We start from the raw sequence: 16,670 nt of genomic DNA, 5'->3' as shown, positions 1-16,670 counted from the left end.
TGCCATGCTGGTGTGCTGCACCCATTAACTCGTCATTTAGCATTAGGTCTATCTCCTAAAGCTATCCCTCCCCCCTCACCCCACCCCACAACAGTCCCCAGAGTGTGATGTTCCCCTTCCTGTGTCCATGTGTTCCCATTGTTCAGTTCCCACCTATGAGTGAGAGTATGTGGTGTTTGGTTTTTTTGTTCTTGCGATAGTTTACTGAGAATGATGATTTCCCATTTCACCCATGTCCCTACAAAGGACATGAACTCATCATTTTTTATGGCTGCATAGTATTCCATGGTGTATATGTGCCACATTTTCTTAATCCAGTCTATCATTGTTGGACATTTGGGTTGGTTCCAAGTCTTTGCTATTGTGAATAGTGCCGCAATAAACATACGTGTGCATGTGTCTTTATAGCAGTATGATTTATAGTCCTTTGGGTATATACCCAGTAATGGGATGGCTGGGTCAAATGGTATTTCTAGTTCTAGATCCCTGAGGAATCGGCACACTGACTTCCACAAGGGTTGAACTAGTTTACAGTCCCACCAACAGTGTAAAAGTGTTCCTATTTCTCCACGTCCTCTCCAGCACCTGCTGTTTCCTGACTTTTTAATGATTGCCATTCTAACTGGTGTGAGATGGTATCTCATTGTGGTTTTGATTTGCATTTCTCTGATGGCCAGTGATGGTGAGCATTTTTTCATGTGTTTTTTGGCTGCATAGATGTCTTCTTTTGAGAAGTGTCTGTTCATGTCCTTCGCCCACTTTTTGATGGGGTTGTTTGTTTTTTTCTTGTAAATTTGTTTGAGTTCATTGTAGATTCTGGATATTAGCCCTTTGTCAGATGAGTAGGTTGCGAAAATTTTCTCCCATTTTGTAGGTTGCCTGTTCACTCTGATGGTAGTTTCTTTTGCTGTGCAGAAGCTCTTTAATTAGATCCCATTTGTCAATTTTGGCTTTTGTTGCCATTGCTTTTGGTGTTTTAGACATGAAGTCCTTGCCCATGCCTATGTCCTGAATGGTAATGCCTAGGTTTTCTTCTAGGGTTTTTATGGTTTTAGGTCTAACGTTTAAGTCTTTAATCCATCTTGAATTAATTTTTGTATAAGGTGTAAGGAAGGGATCCAGTTTCAGCTTTCTACATATGGCTAGCCAGTTTTCCCAGCACCATTTATTAAATAGGGAATCCTTTCCCCATTGCTTGTTTTTCTCAGGTTTGTCAAAGATCAGATAGTTGTAGATATGCGGTGTTATTTCTGAGGGCTCTGTTCTGTTCCATTGATCTATATCTCTGTTTTGGTACCAGTACCATGCTGTTTTGGTTACTGTAGCCTTGTAGTGTAGTTTGAAGTCAGGTAGTGTGATGCCTCCAGCTTTGTTCTTTTGGCTTAGGATTGACTTGGCGATGCAGGCTCTTTTTTGGTTCCATATGAACTTTAAAGTAGTTTTTTCCAATTCTGTGAAGAAAGTCATTGGTAGCTTGATGGGATGGCATTGAATCTGTAAATTACCTTGGGCAGTATGGCCATTTTCATGATATTGATTCTTCCTACCCATGAGCATGGAATGTTCTTCCATTTGTTTGTATCCTCTTTTATTTCCTTGAGCAGTGGTTTGTACTTCTCCTTGAAGAGGTCCTTCACGTCCCTTGTAAGTTGAATTCCTAGGTATTTTATTCTCTTTGAAGCAATTGTGAATGGGAGTTCACGCATGATTTGACTCTCTGTTTGTCTGTTATTGGGGTATAAGAATGCTTGTGATTTTTGTACATTGATTTTGTATCCTGAGACTTTGCTGAAGTTGCTTATCAGCTTAAGGAGATTTTGGGCTGAGACAATGGGGTTTTCTAGATATACAATCATGTCATCTGCAAACAGGGACAATTTGACTTCCTCTTTCCCTAATTGAATACCCTTTATTTCCTTCTCCTGCCTAATTGCCCTGGCCAGAACTTCCAACACAATGTTGAATAGGAGTGGTGAGAGAGGGCATCCCTGTCTTGTGCCAGTTTTCAAAGGGAATGCTTCCAGTTTTTGCCCATTCAGCATGATATTGGCTGTGGGTTTGTCATAGATAGCTCTTATTATTTTGAGATACATCCCATCAATACCTAATTTATTGAGAGTTTTTATCATGAAGGGTTGTTGAATTTTGTCAAAGGCCTTTTCTGCATCTATTGAGATAATCATGTGGTTTTTGTCTTTGGTTCTGTTTATATGCTGGATTACATTTATTGATTTGCATATATTGAACCAGCCTTGCATTCCAGGGATGAAGCCCACTTGATCATGGTGGATAAGCTTTTTGATGTGCTGCTGGATTTGGTTTGCCAGTATTTTATTGAGGATTTTTGCATCAATGTTCATCAAGGATATTGGTCTAAAATTCTCTTTTTTGGTTGTGTCTCTGCCAGGCTTTGGTATCAGGATGATGCTGGCCTCATAAAATGAGTTAGGGAGGATTCCCTCTTTTTCTGTTGATTGGAATAGTTTCAGAAGGAATGGTATCAGCTCCTCCTTGTACCTCTGATAGAATTCGGCTGTGAATCCATCTGGTCCTGGACTCTTTTTGGTTGGTAAGCTATTGATTATTGCCACAATTTCAGAGCCTGTTATTGGTCTATTCAGAGAGTCAACTTCTTCCTGGTTTAGTCTTGGGAGGGTGTATGTGTCAAGGAAAGTATCCATTTCTTGTAGATTTTCTAGTTTATTTGAGTAGAGGTGTTTGTAGTATTCTCTGATGGTAGTTTGTATTTCTGTGGGATTGGTGGTGATATCCCCTTTATCATTTTTTATTGTGTCTATTTGATTCTTCTCTCTTTTCTTCTTTATTAGTCTTGCTAGCGGTCTATCAATTTTGTTGATCCTTTCAAAAAACCAGCTCCTGGATTCATTAATTTTTTGAAGGGTTTTTTGTGTCTCTATTTCATTCAGTTCTGCTTTGATTTTAGTTATTTCTTGCCTTCTGCTAGCTTTTGAATGTGTTTGCTCTTGCTTTTCTAGTTCTTTTAATTGTGATGTTAGGGTGTCAATTCTGGATCTTTCCTGCTTTCTCTTGTGGGCATTTAGTGCTATAAATTTCCCTCTACACACTGCTTTGAATGTGTCCCAGAGATTCTGGTATGTTGTGTCTTTGTTCTCGTTGGTTTCAAAGAACATCTTTATTTCTGCCTTTGTTTCGTTATGTACCCAGTAGTCATTCAGGAGCAGGTTGTTCAGTTTCCATGTAGTTGAGCAGTTTTGAGTGAGTTTCTTAATTCTGAGTTCTAGTTTGATTGCACTGTGGTCTGAGAGACAGTTTCTATAATTTCTGATCTTTTACATTTGCTGAGGAGAGCTTTACTTCCAACTACGTGGTCAGTTTTGGAATAGGTGTGGTGTGGTGCTGAAAAAAATGTATATTCTGTTGATTTGGGGTGGAGAGTTCTGTAGATGTCTATTAGGTCCGCTTGGTGCAGAGCTGAGTTCAATTCCTGGGTATCCTTGTTAACTTTCTGTCTCGTTGATCTAATGTTGACAATGGGGTGTTAAAGTCTCCCATTATTATTGTGTGGGAGTCTAAGCCTAGTCTCTGATAAAACAGACTTTAAACCAACAAAGATCAAAAGAGACAAAGAAGGCCATTACATAATGGTAAAGGGGTCAATTCAACAAGAAGAGCTAACTATCCTAAACATATATGCACCCAATACAGGAGCACCCAGATTCATAAAGCAAGTCCTGAGTGACCTACAAAGAGACTAAGAACTTTTCTTTAACATTTCTTATAATACAGGTCTGATGGCAATACATTCTTTCAGCTTGTCTTTGTCTGAAAAGGTGCTTGTTTTTCTGTTCATTTTTTAAAAGTCATTTTATCTGATTTAGATTTATGGGTTCACAGGGTGGGTTTTTTTTTCTTTCAGCACTTTAAATATTTCATTTCAATGTTTTCTATTTGCATCATTTCTAACAAGACGTCTACGATATCTTATTTTCGTTCCTCTCCACATAGTGTTTTGTTTTTCTGGCTGCTTTTAAGATTTTTTTCCTTTTTTGCTGATTTTCAGCAATTTGGTTATGTTGTATCCTAAGGTGGTTTTCTTTGTGTTTATTCTGCTTAGGAGTCATTCACCTTCTGAAATTGGTAGATTTATAGTTTTAATCCACCAATTTATATTTGAAAATTTCTCAGACTGTTTTTCAATTAAAAAAATTTTCTGGGACTCCAATTACATGTATATTTGATTTTTTGATATTGTCCCACAAGTAATTTTTTTCCATTTTTTTTTCTTTCTGAACTTTATTTTGAGGCTATGTTTAAGGCTTTTTAGGCCAGGCCTTTAGGTAGTCTTTACTCTAAGGCTAATTTAGCCTCATCACTAAGACATGACCCTTCTGGGCTCTGCTTAATGCCTGATGGGGTCCCTCCATGCTGGTGGGGGGAAACATGAGCAATTCCTACATCAGCTGCTGTTTGACTTCCAGCCCTGGTCATTGGTCTTCCTCCAGCTTCATGGAGTTTCACCCTATGCATGAGCAGATGGGGAGTCAATCAAAGACCCTAAAAGAATTTCTAGAACTCTTTCTCTATATAGTTCTCTCCTGTCTGCTGGTATTCTATCTCACAAATTCTAGCCGCCTCAGCTTTCCTGAGTTCTGATCTTGGTCACCTCAACTCAGTAAGACAACTGGGTTCTGTATTCCTCTCTCTCTCTCTCTCTCTCTCTCTCTCCCTCCCCTCCGCCCCTTTCTCTCCCTCTCTCTCCCTCTCTCTCCCTCTGTCTGTCTCTCCCATAGCTCAAAAATTGCCCCTGGGCAGAAAGCTGGGGCACACTTAGAGGCTCACCCCATCTGTTTCCCTCTCTCAGGGATATCAGTCCTGAGCTGTCTGTAGTCCAGTATCTGAAAACAATTGCTTTCTCTCCAAACAAGATGGCCAATGTGTACACCGTATGGGCACTGGGGCCCTGGGCGCCAGCTGGGGCCTGCTGGGCCCACCCAGCTATTCTATTTGTCCAGTTTCCTAGTATTTACAGTGCAACGATGGATGTTACTCCCTTGTGATCAGAATCAGAAGTCTCAGGAATATATATTTTAGCAAAAAATCAGGAGTTCACACTGATATTTCTGTTATTTCTATAACTTTTCAAATGTTATATTGTGAGGTTTTAGCTTACTTTATTTATTCTTGTATTTCTTTTATTTTACCTTAAAATCTTAGTTCCTTATAGGATTAACATAATCCTACAGTATATATCAAATAATTTTGAAATAGTATTATCAGTATTATTACCAACAATAAGGCCAGGTGCAGCAGCTCATTCGTATAATCCCAGCACTTTGGGAGGCCAAGGCAGAAGGATCTCTTGAGCCCAGGAGTTCAAGATCAGCCTGGGCAACATAGTGAGACCCCCCTGTCTCTACAAAAAAAAAAAGGAAAAATTTAATTAGCGACATGTGGTGGTGTGAACATGTAGTCCCAGCTACTCGGGAGGCTGAGGCAGGATCATGGGAGCCCAGGGGTTTGAGGCTGCAGTGGGCCATGATCATACCATAGAGCAAGAACCTGTCTCCAAAACAAAACAAACAAAACCAACAAAACAAAACCCCAGAAACCAATAAGACTATTGCATAGAATTTGAAATTCCTTTTTGCCTTTAGAGTGCCACTGAAAAAGAGGAATCAAAGTGTACTATTATAAAATTCCTTGATCTTGATGTAATTCTGTGTGTGTGTGGTTATGTTACTAACTTAGTATGTAGTCTAATTCATTTCTTTCTTTTTTTTTCTTCTGGTTCCTTGATCTTGGGCTAACTTATTTCTTTCAGAGTGTTTTCAAGTTTTAGGAACTCATTTTTTCCCTTTCTAAAAATTTTGTAGTGTTCCCCGCCCCACCCGCCCCGCCCCAAAGATACGGCCTCACTATATTGCCCAGGCTGGTCTCAAACTCCTGGCCTCAAGCAATCCTTCTGCCTCAGCCTCCCAAGTAGCTGGGATCACAGGCATGAGCCACCACACCTGACTTCCTTTTACATATAACTTTATTTTTCAAATGGTTAAGACATTTACATGATTCCAAAGTCAAAATCATGTGAGATAACACTCAAAGAATTTTTGCTTCCATCCCTTTCTTCTTCCCTTTATTCCCGCTCTTCCTATACACAGTGAATTCAATCAGGTTTTGGTTTAACCTTCGAGTTTCTTTTTGTTTGTTTGTTTTGAGACAGAGTCTCTCTCTGGAGTGCCGAGGAGCAATCTCGGCTCACTGCAACCTCTGCCTCCCGGGCTCAAGCGAGTCTCGTGCCTCAGTCTCCCGAGTAGCTGGGATTACAGGCATGCACCACCACACCCGGCTAATTTTTGTATTTTTAGTAGAAACAGGGTTTCACCATGTTGACCAGGCTGGTCTCGAACTCCTGACCTCAAATGACCCTCCCACCTTGGCCTCCCAAAGTGCTGGGATTACAGGCGTGAGCCACCACACCCGGCCTCTTTTTGTAAACATAAGTAAATACTTGTTTGCATACATATATTTACATTGCACCCCTTTCTTACACAAATATAGCATACTATGCGCATATTGTAAACTTCCTTTTTTCACTTAATAATATATCCTAGAAACCACTCACTCTCTGCACATAGAATTCTCTCCCTCTCTCCTCTGCCCTCTGCTCCTCTCCCTCTTTCTCCTACAGTCACATAGCACTACTCCATTGTGTGGCTGGATCATGGTTTGTTCAACCAAGCCCCAGCTTGTTTGGTGGTTTTCCTTCAATGGGGAGTCATCCCCAGTCCCCTGGCTATCCCCACCTTTACTGCTCCCAAGTTCTCAGGAGGGAAACTATGGGTGAAGGGTGGCAGTTGTCCTGCTGGGGTCGAAGGTCAGAGACGGGGCACCCAGAGACCTTTACTAAGCCGACTCACACAGGGAGATGGGGTACTTTTTAGAAGGTGACATTTCTCTTACTGAAACCTGATCTATTTTTCCTGTCAATGCAGATCTGGAAACAGTTGCCACATCTAAAGGCAGTCGTGATATATAAAGAACCTCCTCCAAACAAGATGGCCAATGTGTACACGGTATGGGCAGTGGGGCCCTGGGCGCCAGGTGGGGCCTATTGGGCCCACCCAGCTGACCTAGCCTGCCTGCTCCCTGCATCTGGCTACAGATGGAGGAATTCATGGAGCTGGGGAATGAAGTGCCTGAGGAAGCCCTGGACGCCATCATTGACACCCAGCAGCCCAACCAGTGCTGTGTGCTAGTCTACACTTCCGGCACCACTGGGAACCCCAAGGGCGTGATGCTGAGTCAAGACAATGTAGGACAGATGCCCGGTGGGGTGGGGGGGGTGCAAGGGGGTTATGGGTGGATCTGGGCCATGGCTCTGCCCCAGTAGCCCCTGGGAAAGCTCCTTGGGCCCCTCTGCTCTAGGAGCTGGGATAGGTAGAACAGCCCATCAATCTGTGGCCCAGACTGAGCTCAGCAAGGGGGAGGGGAGGCCTGTCCTGGGGTTTTCAGAGCCTGCAGAATCGCCACAGGGGGCACCACACTGGGGCTGGCCCCCAGGGTGGCCACAGTTGTGAGCACCGCCAGGGCTGGCTTGTGGACACTGCTGGGATCCATCTACTTGTCCTCCAGATCACGTGGACGGCACGGTACGGCAGCCAGGCCGGTGACATCCGGCCGGCAGAAGTCCAGCAGGAGGTGGTAGTCAGCTACCTGCCCCTCAGCCATATTGCCGCCCAGATCTACGACCTGTGGACAGGCATCCAGTGGGGGGCCCAGGTTTGCTTTGCCGAACCCGACGCCCTGAAGGTCAGTCTGCCTTTACCGTGTGTCCGTCTGAGCCCGTGTGCCAGGCCACGTCCACATGTGTCTGTGGGCCCTGAGTGCATTTGTGTGTGTGCTGTTCCTGTGCATGTATCAGTCAGAATTCTGTCAGCTGCAGTGGGCACAGCCTGACTCGAATGACCAAACAAGAAGGGAAACTAGGCCGGGCACGGTGGCTCACGCCTGTAATCCCAGCACTTTGGGAGGCCGAGGCAGGCACATCACGAGGTCAGGAGATCAAGACCATCCTGGCTAACACGGTGAAACCCCATCTCTACTGAAAATACAAAAAATTAGATGGGAGTGGTGGCAGGTGCCTGTAGTCCCAGCTACTAGGGAGGCTGAGGCAGGAGAATGGCGTGAACCCAGGAGGTGGAGCTTGCAGTGAGCCGAGATCACGCCACTGTACTCCAGCCTGGGCAACAGCATGGCCCAGTCTCAAAAAAAAAAAAAAAAAAAAAAAAGAAACCTGATGCCATTACATAAGGTCGAGTCAGAGTGGTTCGCGGGACTTGTGACACGATCAAGGACGGGCATCCTCAGAGTATCACCAGAAGGCTACAGCCCTTCCCTGAATCCCAGCTTCACAGGATATACCTGTTCTTTGGACCCTTATTTTAACTGTGAGGAAAACTTTCCCAGAAACCCCCCAGCAAGTTTCCCTCCACCAGCATCTCAGTGTCCCAAAGTGTCACCTGTCTGTTCTCAAACCATATGCTGCCGAGGGGAATGGGATTCTTGTGTCTAAGTTAGACTCATGGAGAGTTGCCATGCTCAGGGCTGGGATGAGACTGAGGTCAGCACTGGCTGCCTGACTGCTGCCTGCCACCAGGGTTCTGTGAGCAAAAAGCAAGGCGACAGCCATTGAGGAAACAGTATGTGCCACCCTTGCGTGCAGGTGTGTGTGGGTGCCCGTTGGAGCATGTGTGTGCCACCGGCATGCCTGGCTGGTAAGAGGGGACCCCTGGGCCCCAGATGCCCCTGACCCAACAGGCCTGCCTCTTCTGGTGTGAACAGGGGAGCCTGGTGAACACGCTGCGGGAGGTGGAGCCCACATCACACATGGGGGTGCCCCGGGTATGGGAGAAGATCATGGAGCGCATCCAGGAGGTGGCGGCTCAGTCTGGCTTCATCCGGCGAAAGATGCTGCTGTGGGCCATGTCGGTGACCTTGGAGCAGAACCTCACCTGCCCCGGCAGGTACAGAGGGCCCACGGGCGGGAGGCCTGGGGAGAGAGTGGGCTGGGTCATAACCCAAAACACAGTGAGGGTCTGATACGCCATGCCTGTCCCGGTTCCAGTGGCCGGGCAGCTCTGGAGACCCCGTGCAGAGGCCCCATCAATGACTGGGCTTGAGCTCCTGTGCGTTTCCCAGGGCCTGCTGGGGACAGTCGCTCCACCTTTGGATTCTGACTGGGAGGAGTAACTTGCTTTCTCTGAAGTGAAATTCACCTCCCTAGGAGCAGCTTCTGGCACAATCTCCTGAGGTCTCCTGACCTCAGTAAGTGGCTGGAGAAGGGGCCACAGTGATCAGGACTTAGCCTTTCCGGCCTTTTCAGCATCCCAAGTGACCCCTCAGATATTTTGCCCTTTCTATCTTTCTATAGCTTTCAAAATTCCCACATAGTTCTATGGAGGGTCAGTGACGTAAAGCTGGCTTGGTTTCAATTTAGAAGTAGTTTCCATTCCCCATGTGCCTGTGAAATGGTATGTTTCATGAGATGTGTGCACATATCTGTGCATCCACAGCTTCATTTGCACAGACACGAAACATGAACATGCACGAACAAAGCATTTGTGGGCTTCACTGGGGTCCCACGTTTGTACATGTGTATACATGAATACATACTTCAAGTTTCTGTGCATGTGTATTGTGTGTGCAAAATGGCATGTGTCTGTGTTGTTGCCCGTACACCTGTACACAGCTGAATCTGTTTGACTTCCTGGGTCAAGACATATTTGCACACAACCATGTGCCTGCATACCTACATCTGCATGCATGTTCACGGGCAGGTTCAATATTCAAACCAACCAACTGGAACAGACAACTGGAATGGCCGAGCCAGGGTGTTCTCACTGAATACCACCATACCACCCTTTTAATGTGTGTATGTGTGTGTGTGTGTGTGTGTGTGTGTGATTTCTTCTGTGAACCATTCTCCCTCTCCCACCAGCGACCTGAAGCCCTTCACAACCAGACTGGCAGATTACCTGGTGCTAGCCAAGGTTCGCCAGGCACTGGGATTTGCCAAGTGTCAAAAGAACTTCTATGGAGCGGCCCCCATGATGGCAGAGACACAGCACTTCTTCCTGGGTCTCAACATCCGCTTGTATGCGGGCTACGGCCTCAGTGAGACCTCAGGCCCCCACTTCATGTCCAGTCCCTACAACTACCGGCTGTACAGGTGAGGCTCGAGGCTGCCACACACATGCACACCCATGCGCCCTTGCTGGTACTTTGTGCCCGCCTGCTGAGTGCCCTGGGGATCCCCTTCTCTTTGCATGCCAGTTGGGTCCCAGAGACCTGGCCACTGGGCTATGGAGCCCCTGAGAGCCAACAATGCCATCTTGGGCCAAGTCCCTAGCTTATCCTCAGTCTAGTAGGAGTGGCCTCTGCCACCGTGTCGTGAGTCTGTGGTTGAAAACAGCCTGCATAGCCCAGGTGCCCCCTGAACCTATGGAGCAGTTTTCCTCTGGCCCCTCCCTCTTTTGGAGTGGGGTGTGCTCCAGTGTGTTCTAGGAGAGCAGATGGCCCAGGGGCCAGCTGGGGTAGGAGTTGGGGGGACCAGGCCAGCCTCCTAATGGACGGTGAGGGCGGTCAGTTCTGGGGAGTGATTTGCAGGATCATCTATTATGATTAAATATCTCCTCTCCCTGCCAGCCTATCACAGTGCTCCAAGTTCTACCATTACCATTTCATTTGTTCCTTCCTTCCTTCATTCCCTAAAACCCTTTACTTGGCTCTACCTTTCAGCTGTAAGTCCCCTGTAAAAATACAAAAGCCCTGTGAGGGGATACCTTCTAGCAATCAGTGAAGACCGAGCAGTTGGGACCCCGGCTCCCCAGTGGGGGCTTGGAGGAGACGGCTCCCTCTGACCAGTCTCCCGGCCCCTCCCTCGCCAGCTCAGGCAAGTTGGTGCCCGGCTGTCGGGTGAAGCTGGTGAACCAGGACGCAGAGGGCATTGGCGAGATCTGCCTGTGGGGCCGCACCATATTCATGGGCTACCTGAACATGGAGGACAAGACTTGTGAGGCCATCGACGAGGAAGGCTGGCTGCACACGGGTGATGCTGGCCGCCTGGACGCCGATGGCTTCCTCTACATCACTGGGCGCCTCAAAGGTGAGCACCCCAGGCCAGGCACGGTGGCTCATGCCTGTAATCCCAGCACTTTGGGAGGCCAAGGCGGGCAGATTGTCTGAGCTCAGGAGTTCAAGACCACCCTGGGCAGCACAGCGAAACCCCATCTCTACTAAAAACACACGAAAAATTAGCTGGGCGTGGTGGCATGCACCTGTAATCCCAGCTATTCGGGAGGCTGAGGCACGAGAATTACTTGAACCCGGGAGGCAGAGGTTGCAGTGAGCTGAGATTGCCTCTTTGCACACCAGCCTGGGAGACAGAGCTAGACTCTGTCTCCAAAAACAAAACCAAAACAAACAAACAAAAAAAGGCAAGCGCCCTGGACAGCTGCAGTGGGGTGGGAGCAGGAATTCCACTGCCAGCACTGTTTACACCAGCTGCTGGTCTTGAGCCTTTATTAAGATGGCACCTTTAGTGACATCGTTTTATTTACTCCACTCTCCTATGGGGCAGGTACTTATTAACCTTAACTTGCTAATGAGGACATCCAGAGAGGTTAAGTAACTTGCCTAAGGTCACCCAGCTAGTAAATGGCAGAGCTGGAAATCAGACCCCTAGAGAAACAAGGCAAGTCTTTCCAGAAGATTCAGGAGCGTAAGTATTATGTATTTTTATATGCAAACATGGATATGATGGGGAATAGAATGCAAATTGGATATAAAATTTAAAATAAGACAAACTTCCCACAGAGACAGAAATAGTTGGGGATGCCTCTGTGGAAGAATGTTCTGCCTGCTTCACCCAAGTTGGTGTCATGCCCGCAGCATCCACGTGGGAATCCTGCACCAGGGCTTCATGGGGGAAACTGAAGCTAAGTTGAGTGGGTAAACTACTTTGTGGACATCATGCAGGCAGTGTGCGACCATGCCCAGGACCCAACTGATGGCCATGGAGGCTCGGCCACCCCAGGGAGGGACAAAAGGTCGCGGTGGCGTTTGGGCCCTGGGATGTGCAGGCTGATGAGCCCTGGAGGTACCCTCCAGTGAGACCCCGGGAGCAACAGGTGACTGCTTGGATGTGCCATGGGCGCCGCCTAGTGTGCCTCTTTGTAATGGCCGATGAGGGGACCCACATCCCTGCATGGGGGAGGATAGTAGCCAGAAAACCAAATTCAACCAGAGCCGGCCCTCCTTTTAGAACTAGTATAGTGAGAGGTAAGGGTCCAAATAGCTTTTCTCCAAATACATATCCAACGGACACAGCATCCTTTCCCCATGGCCTTGCAGTGATACCTTTGTCCTTTATGAAGTGACTGTCTATGAGAGGTCTATGTGTGGACTCTATTCTGTTCCCTTGGTCTATTCGCCTATCCGTGCACCAATACCCAGTGTCTTAATTTCTATAGCTTTATGACAGGGATAGATATCCGGCTAAGTCCTACAGCCTTGGTCTTCTTCTTCTTCAAGATGACCTTGGCTATTCTTGGCCATTTTCATTTCCATATGAATTTTAGAATCATTATATGTTTCCTCAAAAACTGGGTGGAATTTTGATTTTGATTTCATTGAATCTATAGATCAATTTGGTGAGAAAAATACATGTTTATAGTATTGTCTCTTCCAATTCACAAATATGATAAATCTCTCCATTTACTTAGGTCTTTTTAAGTTTCTCTCAATAATGTGCTATTTATTTATTTACCTATTTATTTATTTATTTATTTTTGAAACAGGGTCTCGCTTTGTTGCCCAGGCTGGAGTGCACTGGCGTGATCTCGGATCACTGCAACTTCTACCTCCTGGGCTCAAGTGATCCTCCGGTCCAGCCTCAGCCTCTCAAGTAGCTGGGACCACAGGTGCAAGCCACCACAACTGGCTAATTTTTTATTTTTGTAGAGACAGGGTTTTGCCATGTTGCCCAGGCTGGTCTTGAGCTCCTGAGCTCAAGCCATCCTCCTGCCTCAGCTTCCTAAAGTGCTGGGATTATAGGTGTGAGCCACTGCATCCAGCCTATGTTTTCTAGTGTAGAGATTTTTGCACATCTTTCCTTATATTTACTTCTAAGAATTTTTTAAGGTATTTTAAATAATATCACTTAAAATTTTTTTTTCAGCTCAGATGTTGCCGCAAAATTTTTTTTCTCCTATTTGTTTGCTGCTGGTATATAGAAATACAACTGCTTTTTGCATATTGGCTTTGTATCAAATGACCTTTTGTGGATCATTTGATCAGACCACATATTCAATCCAGTAATGTGTATATTCTTTTGAATTTCCTATGGACACAACTATATCATCTGCAAATAGCAGATGAATTTTTTTCTTCCCATGTTGCACAGGTTAGGACCTCCAGGACAGTGTTGAATAGAAGTGGTGATAGTGGTCATCCTTGTTTTGTTCCTGATCTCAGGGGAGAAGCATTCACTAACTTATCATTAAGTATGTTTGGCTGAGCACAGTGGCCTACACCTGCAATCCCAGTACTTTGGGAGGCTGAGGCAGGAGGATTGCTTGAGCTCAGGAATTCGAGACCAGCCTGGGCAACATAGTGAGATCCTGTCTCTATTTATTTAAAAAAAAATTATTAAATCTTAAAAAAAGTATGTTTGCTGTAAAAATTTTTAGATGTTCCTTATCTGATTAAAGAAGTTCCTTTCTAGCCTTAGTTTGCTAAGGGTTTTTTTTAATCATTTACTAATGGTAAAAGATGCTGGTAAGAATGCAGAGGGCCGTAGTGAGGAGAAAAGGGCAGGAATGAGGTAGCAATGATGAGGCATATTTTGGGGAGGCTGGGTTTTTGTCTTCCCACATTTCCAGAGTCTGTCTTCTCCTCTTCACCTGACTTCTGCTGTCCTAGACAAACCCTGATCATATAGACACTTGCCATGGATTCCTCTCTAGCCAGCCTGTCCCTGAATAACCACTCTTCACCCCAGCTACCAGAGTACCCTAAAACTTTGATCTCACACCATTCAGTAATTCCCAGCTGCCTGCACACAATCCAGCTCCTGAGCCAGCACTGGAGGCCTCTAAGATCTTCCCTGCTCCTCTCCAGCCTCTGTCTCACTTGCTACCTGCAGTTCCCTTAAGGCCTGTGAGCTTCAGCTTCTGTCCTGCCCTCTGCCTGCCAACTCCCGTTCATGTTTAGCATGCAGCTGGGCCTGGTGCCTCCCTGCCCTGGCCCTGCAGCCCCTGTGCCTCCCTCTGTCTCACTGCCCCGCTGCACTGTGGGCTCCTTGCAGCCATGGGCAGCCTTGTTCTATTCTGTGCCTGATGTCAGCACAGGACCTGTGCACAGAATGTGACCAATTAATCTTTTTTGAATTAGATAGAAATGAGGGACAGGAGTACAGTCTCACTAAAATTAGTCAATGTACATTCGTTAAATTTATTTTATTGAATTTATTGCCATCTAGCCTAGAAGTAAGCCATCAGTACTATCAGACAACAGCAGGCTAGGGCACTGAGTGCCTGGCAGTCTGTTGGACAGAAGGAAAGAAGGGGAGAGGACCTTCCAGGGAGAAGGGTACAAGCAAGGGGAGAGCCATCCTAGCAGGGCAGGTGAGAGCATGGGCTCTGGAAATGGACTGGATTTAAAACCTTAGCTCTGCCACTTATTAGCATGTGAGCTTGGACAAGTTACTGAACGTCTCTGTGCCTCAGTTTCCTCATCTGCAAAACAATAAGAGTGTCTGCTTCATTATTGGTTTATTGTGACAGTTAAATGAATTACTGCATGTGAAGTGCTTAGCATGGTGGTGAGTGCTGTGTGAGTGACAGGGATGGTAGTTATTAAGCAAAGGCAGGGAAGGGAAATGACACGGGCTATTTGGGGGCAGGAACTGGGACTGGCAGAAGGGGGCCATGGATGAGATGTCTGAGCAGGCTGAGTCGTGGATGACAAGCCGAGGAGAGGGAAACTTGGGTGAGCATTTGTCGTCGGGGTGCTGCCACCAGCCCCCAAGCAGGTGTGAGTTGCTTTGGAGGGCCTGCCACTGCTTCTTGGCTCCCAGAAAGGGGGCATCTCCAGCTGTGCTGAGGCTTCCGGGTTGTGGTTGAGGCTTGGGTTGTGGTTCAGCTGGGGCACCTGGACTACATTCTGTGCCGGGGGCCTGGCCTTGCCTCCCCAGAATTAATCATCACAGCTGGTGGGGAGAATGTGCCCCCTGTGCCCATCGAGGAGGCCGTGAAGATGGAGCTGCCCATCATCAGCAACGCCATGCTCATTGGGGACCAGAGGAAGTTCCTGTCCATGCTGCTCACCTTGAAGGTGTGTCTGGGGGGCTCCAGCTCAGAAGGAGCAGCCAGTGAGGGGGTCTGTGGGTCTGGCTGGCAGAAGCCACATTCAGCACAGGGCACATCCAGATCTCATGGCTTCATTCTGGAATGACTCAAGTCCGTGCTGCCTGCACTGTAGGAAAAACTGTGGCACGTGGAAATTCCTTCTGTCCCACATAAGCCACCGTGATGATCCTTTACATGTTACTGGCACTTTCCCGTCTACAAAGTGCTGCTGCCCTCCCTCATTGCTCTCTGCAGGTACTTGGACCCCAGGGTGGTAGACAGGCAGGAGTTACCGTCCCTGCTTTACAGACAATGACGTCACTGACCGAGCTCTTCTAATTCTCAGATCACTGCTCCTTCCACAATAACACGAGGCTCAACACAGTAGCAGCTACTCATTCTAGAACCGTCTCTTTGAAACAGAGCTCACATGATTCACACCCTTGCCGACAGCAGTAAGACCTCCTCCAGGACCAGGGCTTACGTCTTGTTGGGTAAGGCTTGGTCCTCATCTGATCTCTGGCTTTTCAGTGCACTCTGGACCCAGACACCTCTGACCAGACTGATAATCTGACTGAACAAGCTATGGAGTTCTGCCAGAGGGTGGGCAGCAGAGCCACCACAGTGTCCGAGATCATAGAGAAGAAGGATGAGGCCGTGTACCAGGCCATCGAAGAGGGGATCCGGAGGGTCAACATGAACGCGGCGGCCCGGCCCTACCACATCCAGAAGTGGGCCATTCTCGAGAGAGACTTCTCCATTTCGGGTGGAGAGTTGGGTAGGTTTTTCCTTTTCACCATTGCAAGGGCTGTGTGGGAAGGCAGAGGCCATGGCAGTGCCTAGGAGGTGCCTGTTAGGAAGCAGCCACGGCAAAGAGAAGGTCATGGCAGGAATCTGGGTGACACCCATCTACTTCCTGTTAGAGGACATTGATGGCTCCATGCATGGGCTTGTGGTTATGTGGAGTCTGTTGAATGTATAAGATATGTGCTAGAACTTCCTTTTTTTTTTTTTTTTTTTTTTTTTGAGATGGAGTCTCGCTGTGTCACCCAGGCTAGAGAGCAATGGCACGACCTTGGCTCACTGCAACCTGCACCTCGCGGGTTCAAGTGATTCTCCTGCCTCAGCCTCCCGAGTAGCTGGGATTACAGGCATGGGCCACCATGCCCGGCTAATTTTGTATTTTTAGTAGAGACATGGTTTCTCCATGTTGGTCAGGCTGGTCTCGAACTCCCGACCTCAGGTGATCCGCCCGCCTCGGCCTCCCAAAGTGCTGGGATT

At 47.0% G+C, this 16,670-nt stretch overlaps 1 protein-coding gene across 6 annotated transcripts in view; it reads left to right on the top strand.

The window, feature by feature from the left end:
- Positions 1 to 16,670, top strand: part of ACSBG1 (acyl-CoA synthetase bubblegum family member 1) — a 67,098-nt gene that overhangs the window by 44,806 nt on the left and 5,622 nt on the right. For all 6 annotated transcript variants that reach the window (NM_001199377.2, XM_017022025.3, NM_015162.5 and 3 more), the window contains 8 exons: positions 6,975 to 7,055; positions 7,145 to 7,294; positions 7,615 to 7,791; positions 8,824 to 9,005; positions 9,980 to 10,210; positions 10,929 to 11,146; positions 15,236 to 15,375; positions 15,921 to 16,167. In NM_001199377.2, the coding sequence (NP_001186306.1) occupies positions 6,975 to 7,055; positions 7,145 to 7,294; positions 7,615 to 7,791; positions 8,824 to 9,005; positions 9,980 to 10,210; positions 10,929 to 11,146; positions 15,236 to 15,375; positions 15,921 to 16,167 (1,426 nt within the window). The remainder of the gene's footprint in view (positions 1 to 6,974; positions 7,056 to 7,144; positions 7,295 to 7,614; positions 7,792 to 8,823; positions 9,006 to 9,979; positions 10,211 to 10,928; positions 11,147 to 15,235; positions 15,376 to 15,920; positions 16,168 to 16,670) is intronic.

This window comes from Homo sapiens, chromosome 15 (assembly GCF_000001405.40).
Source record: "Homo sapiens chromosome 15, GRCh38.p14 Primary Assembly".
Taxonomy (NCBI): Eukaryota; Metazoa; Chordata; class Mammalia; order Primates; family Hominidae; genus Homo; species Homo sapiens.
Note: the sequence above shows the minus strand (reverse complement) of the source record. Positions and strands in the feature narration are given on the sequence as shown.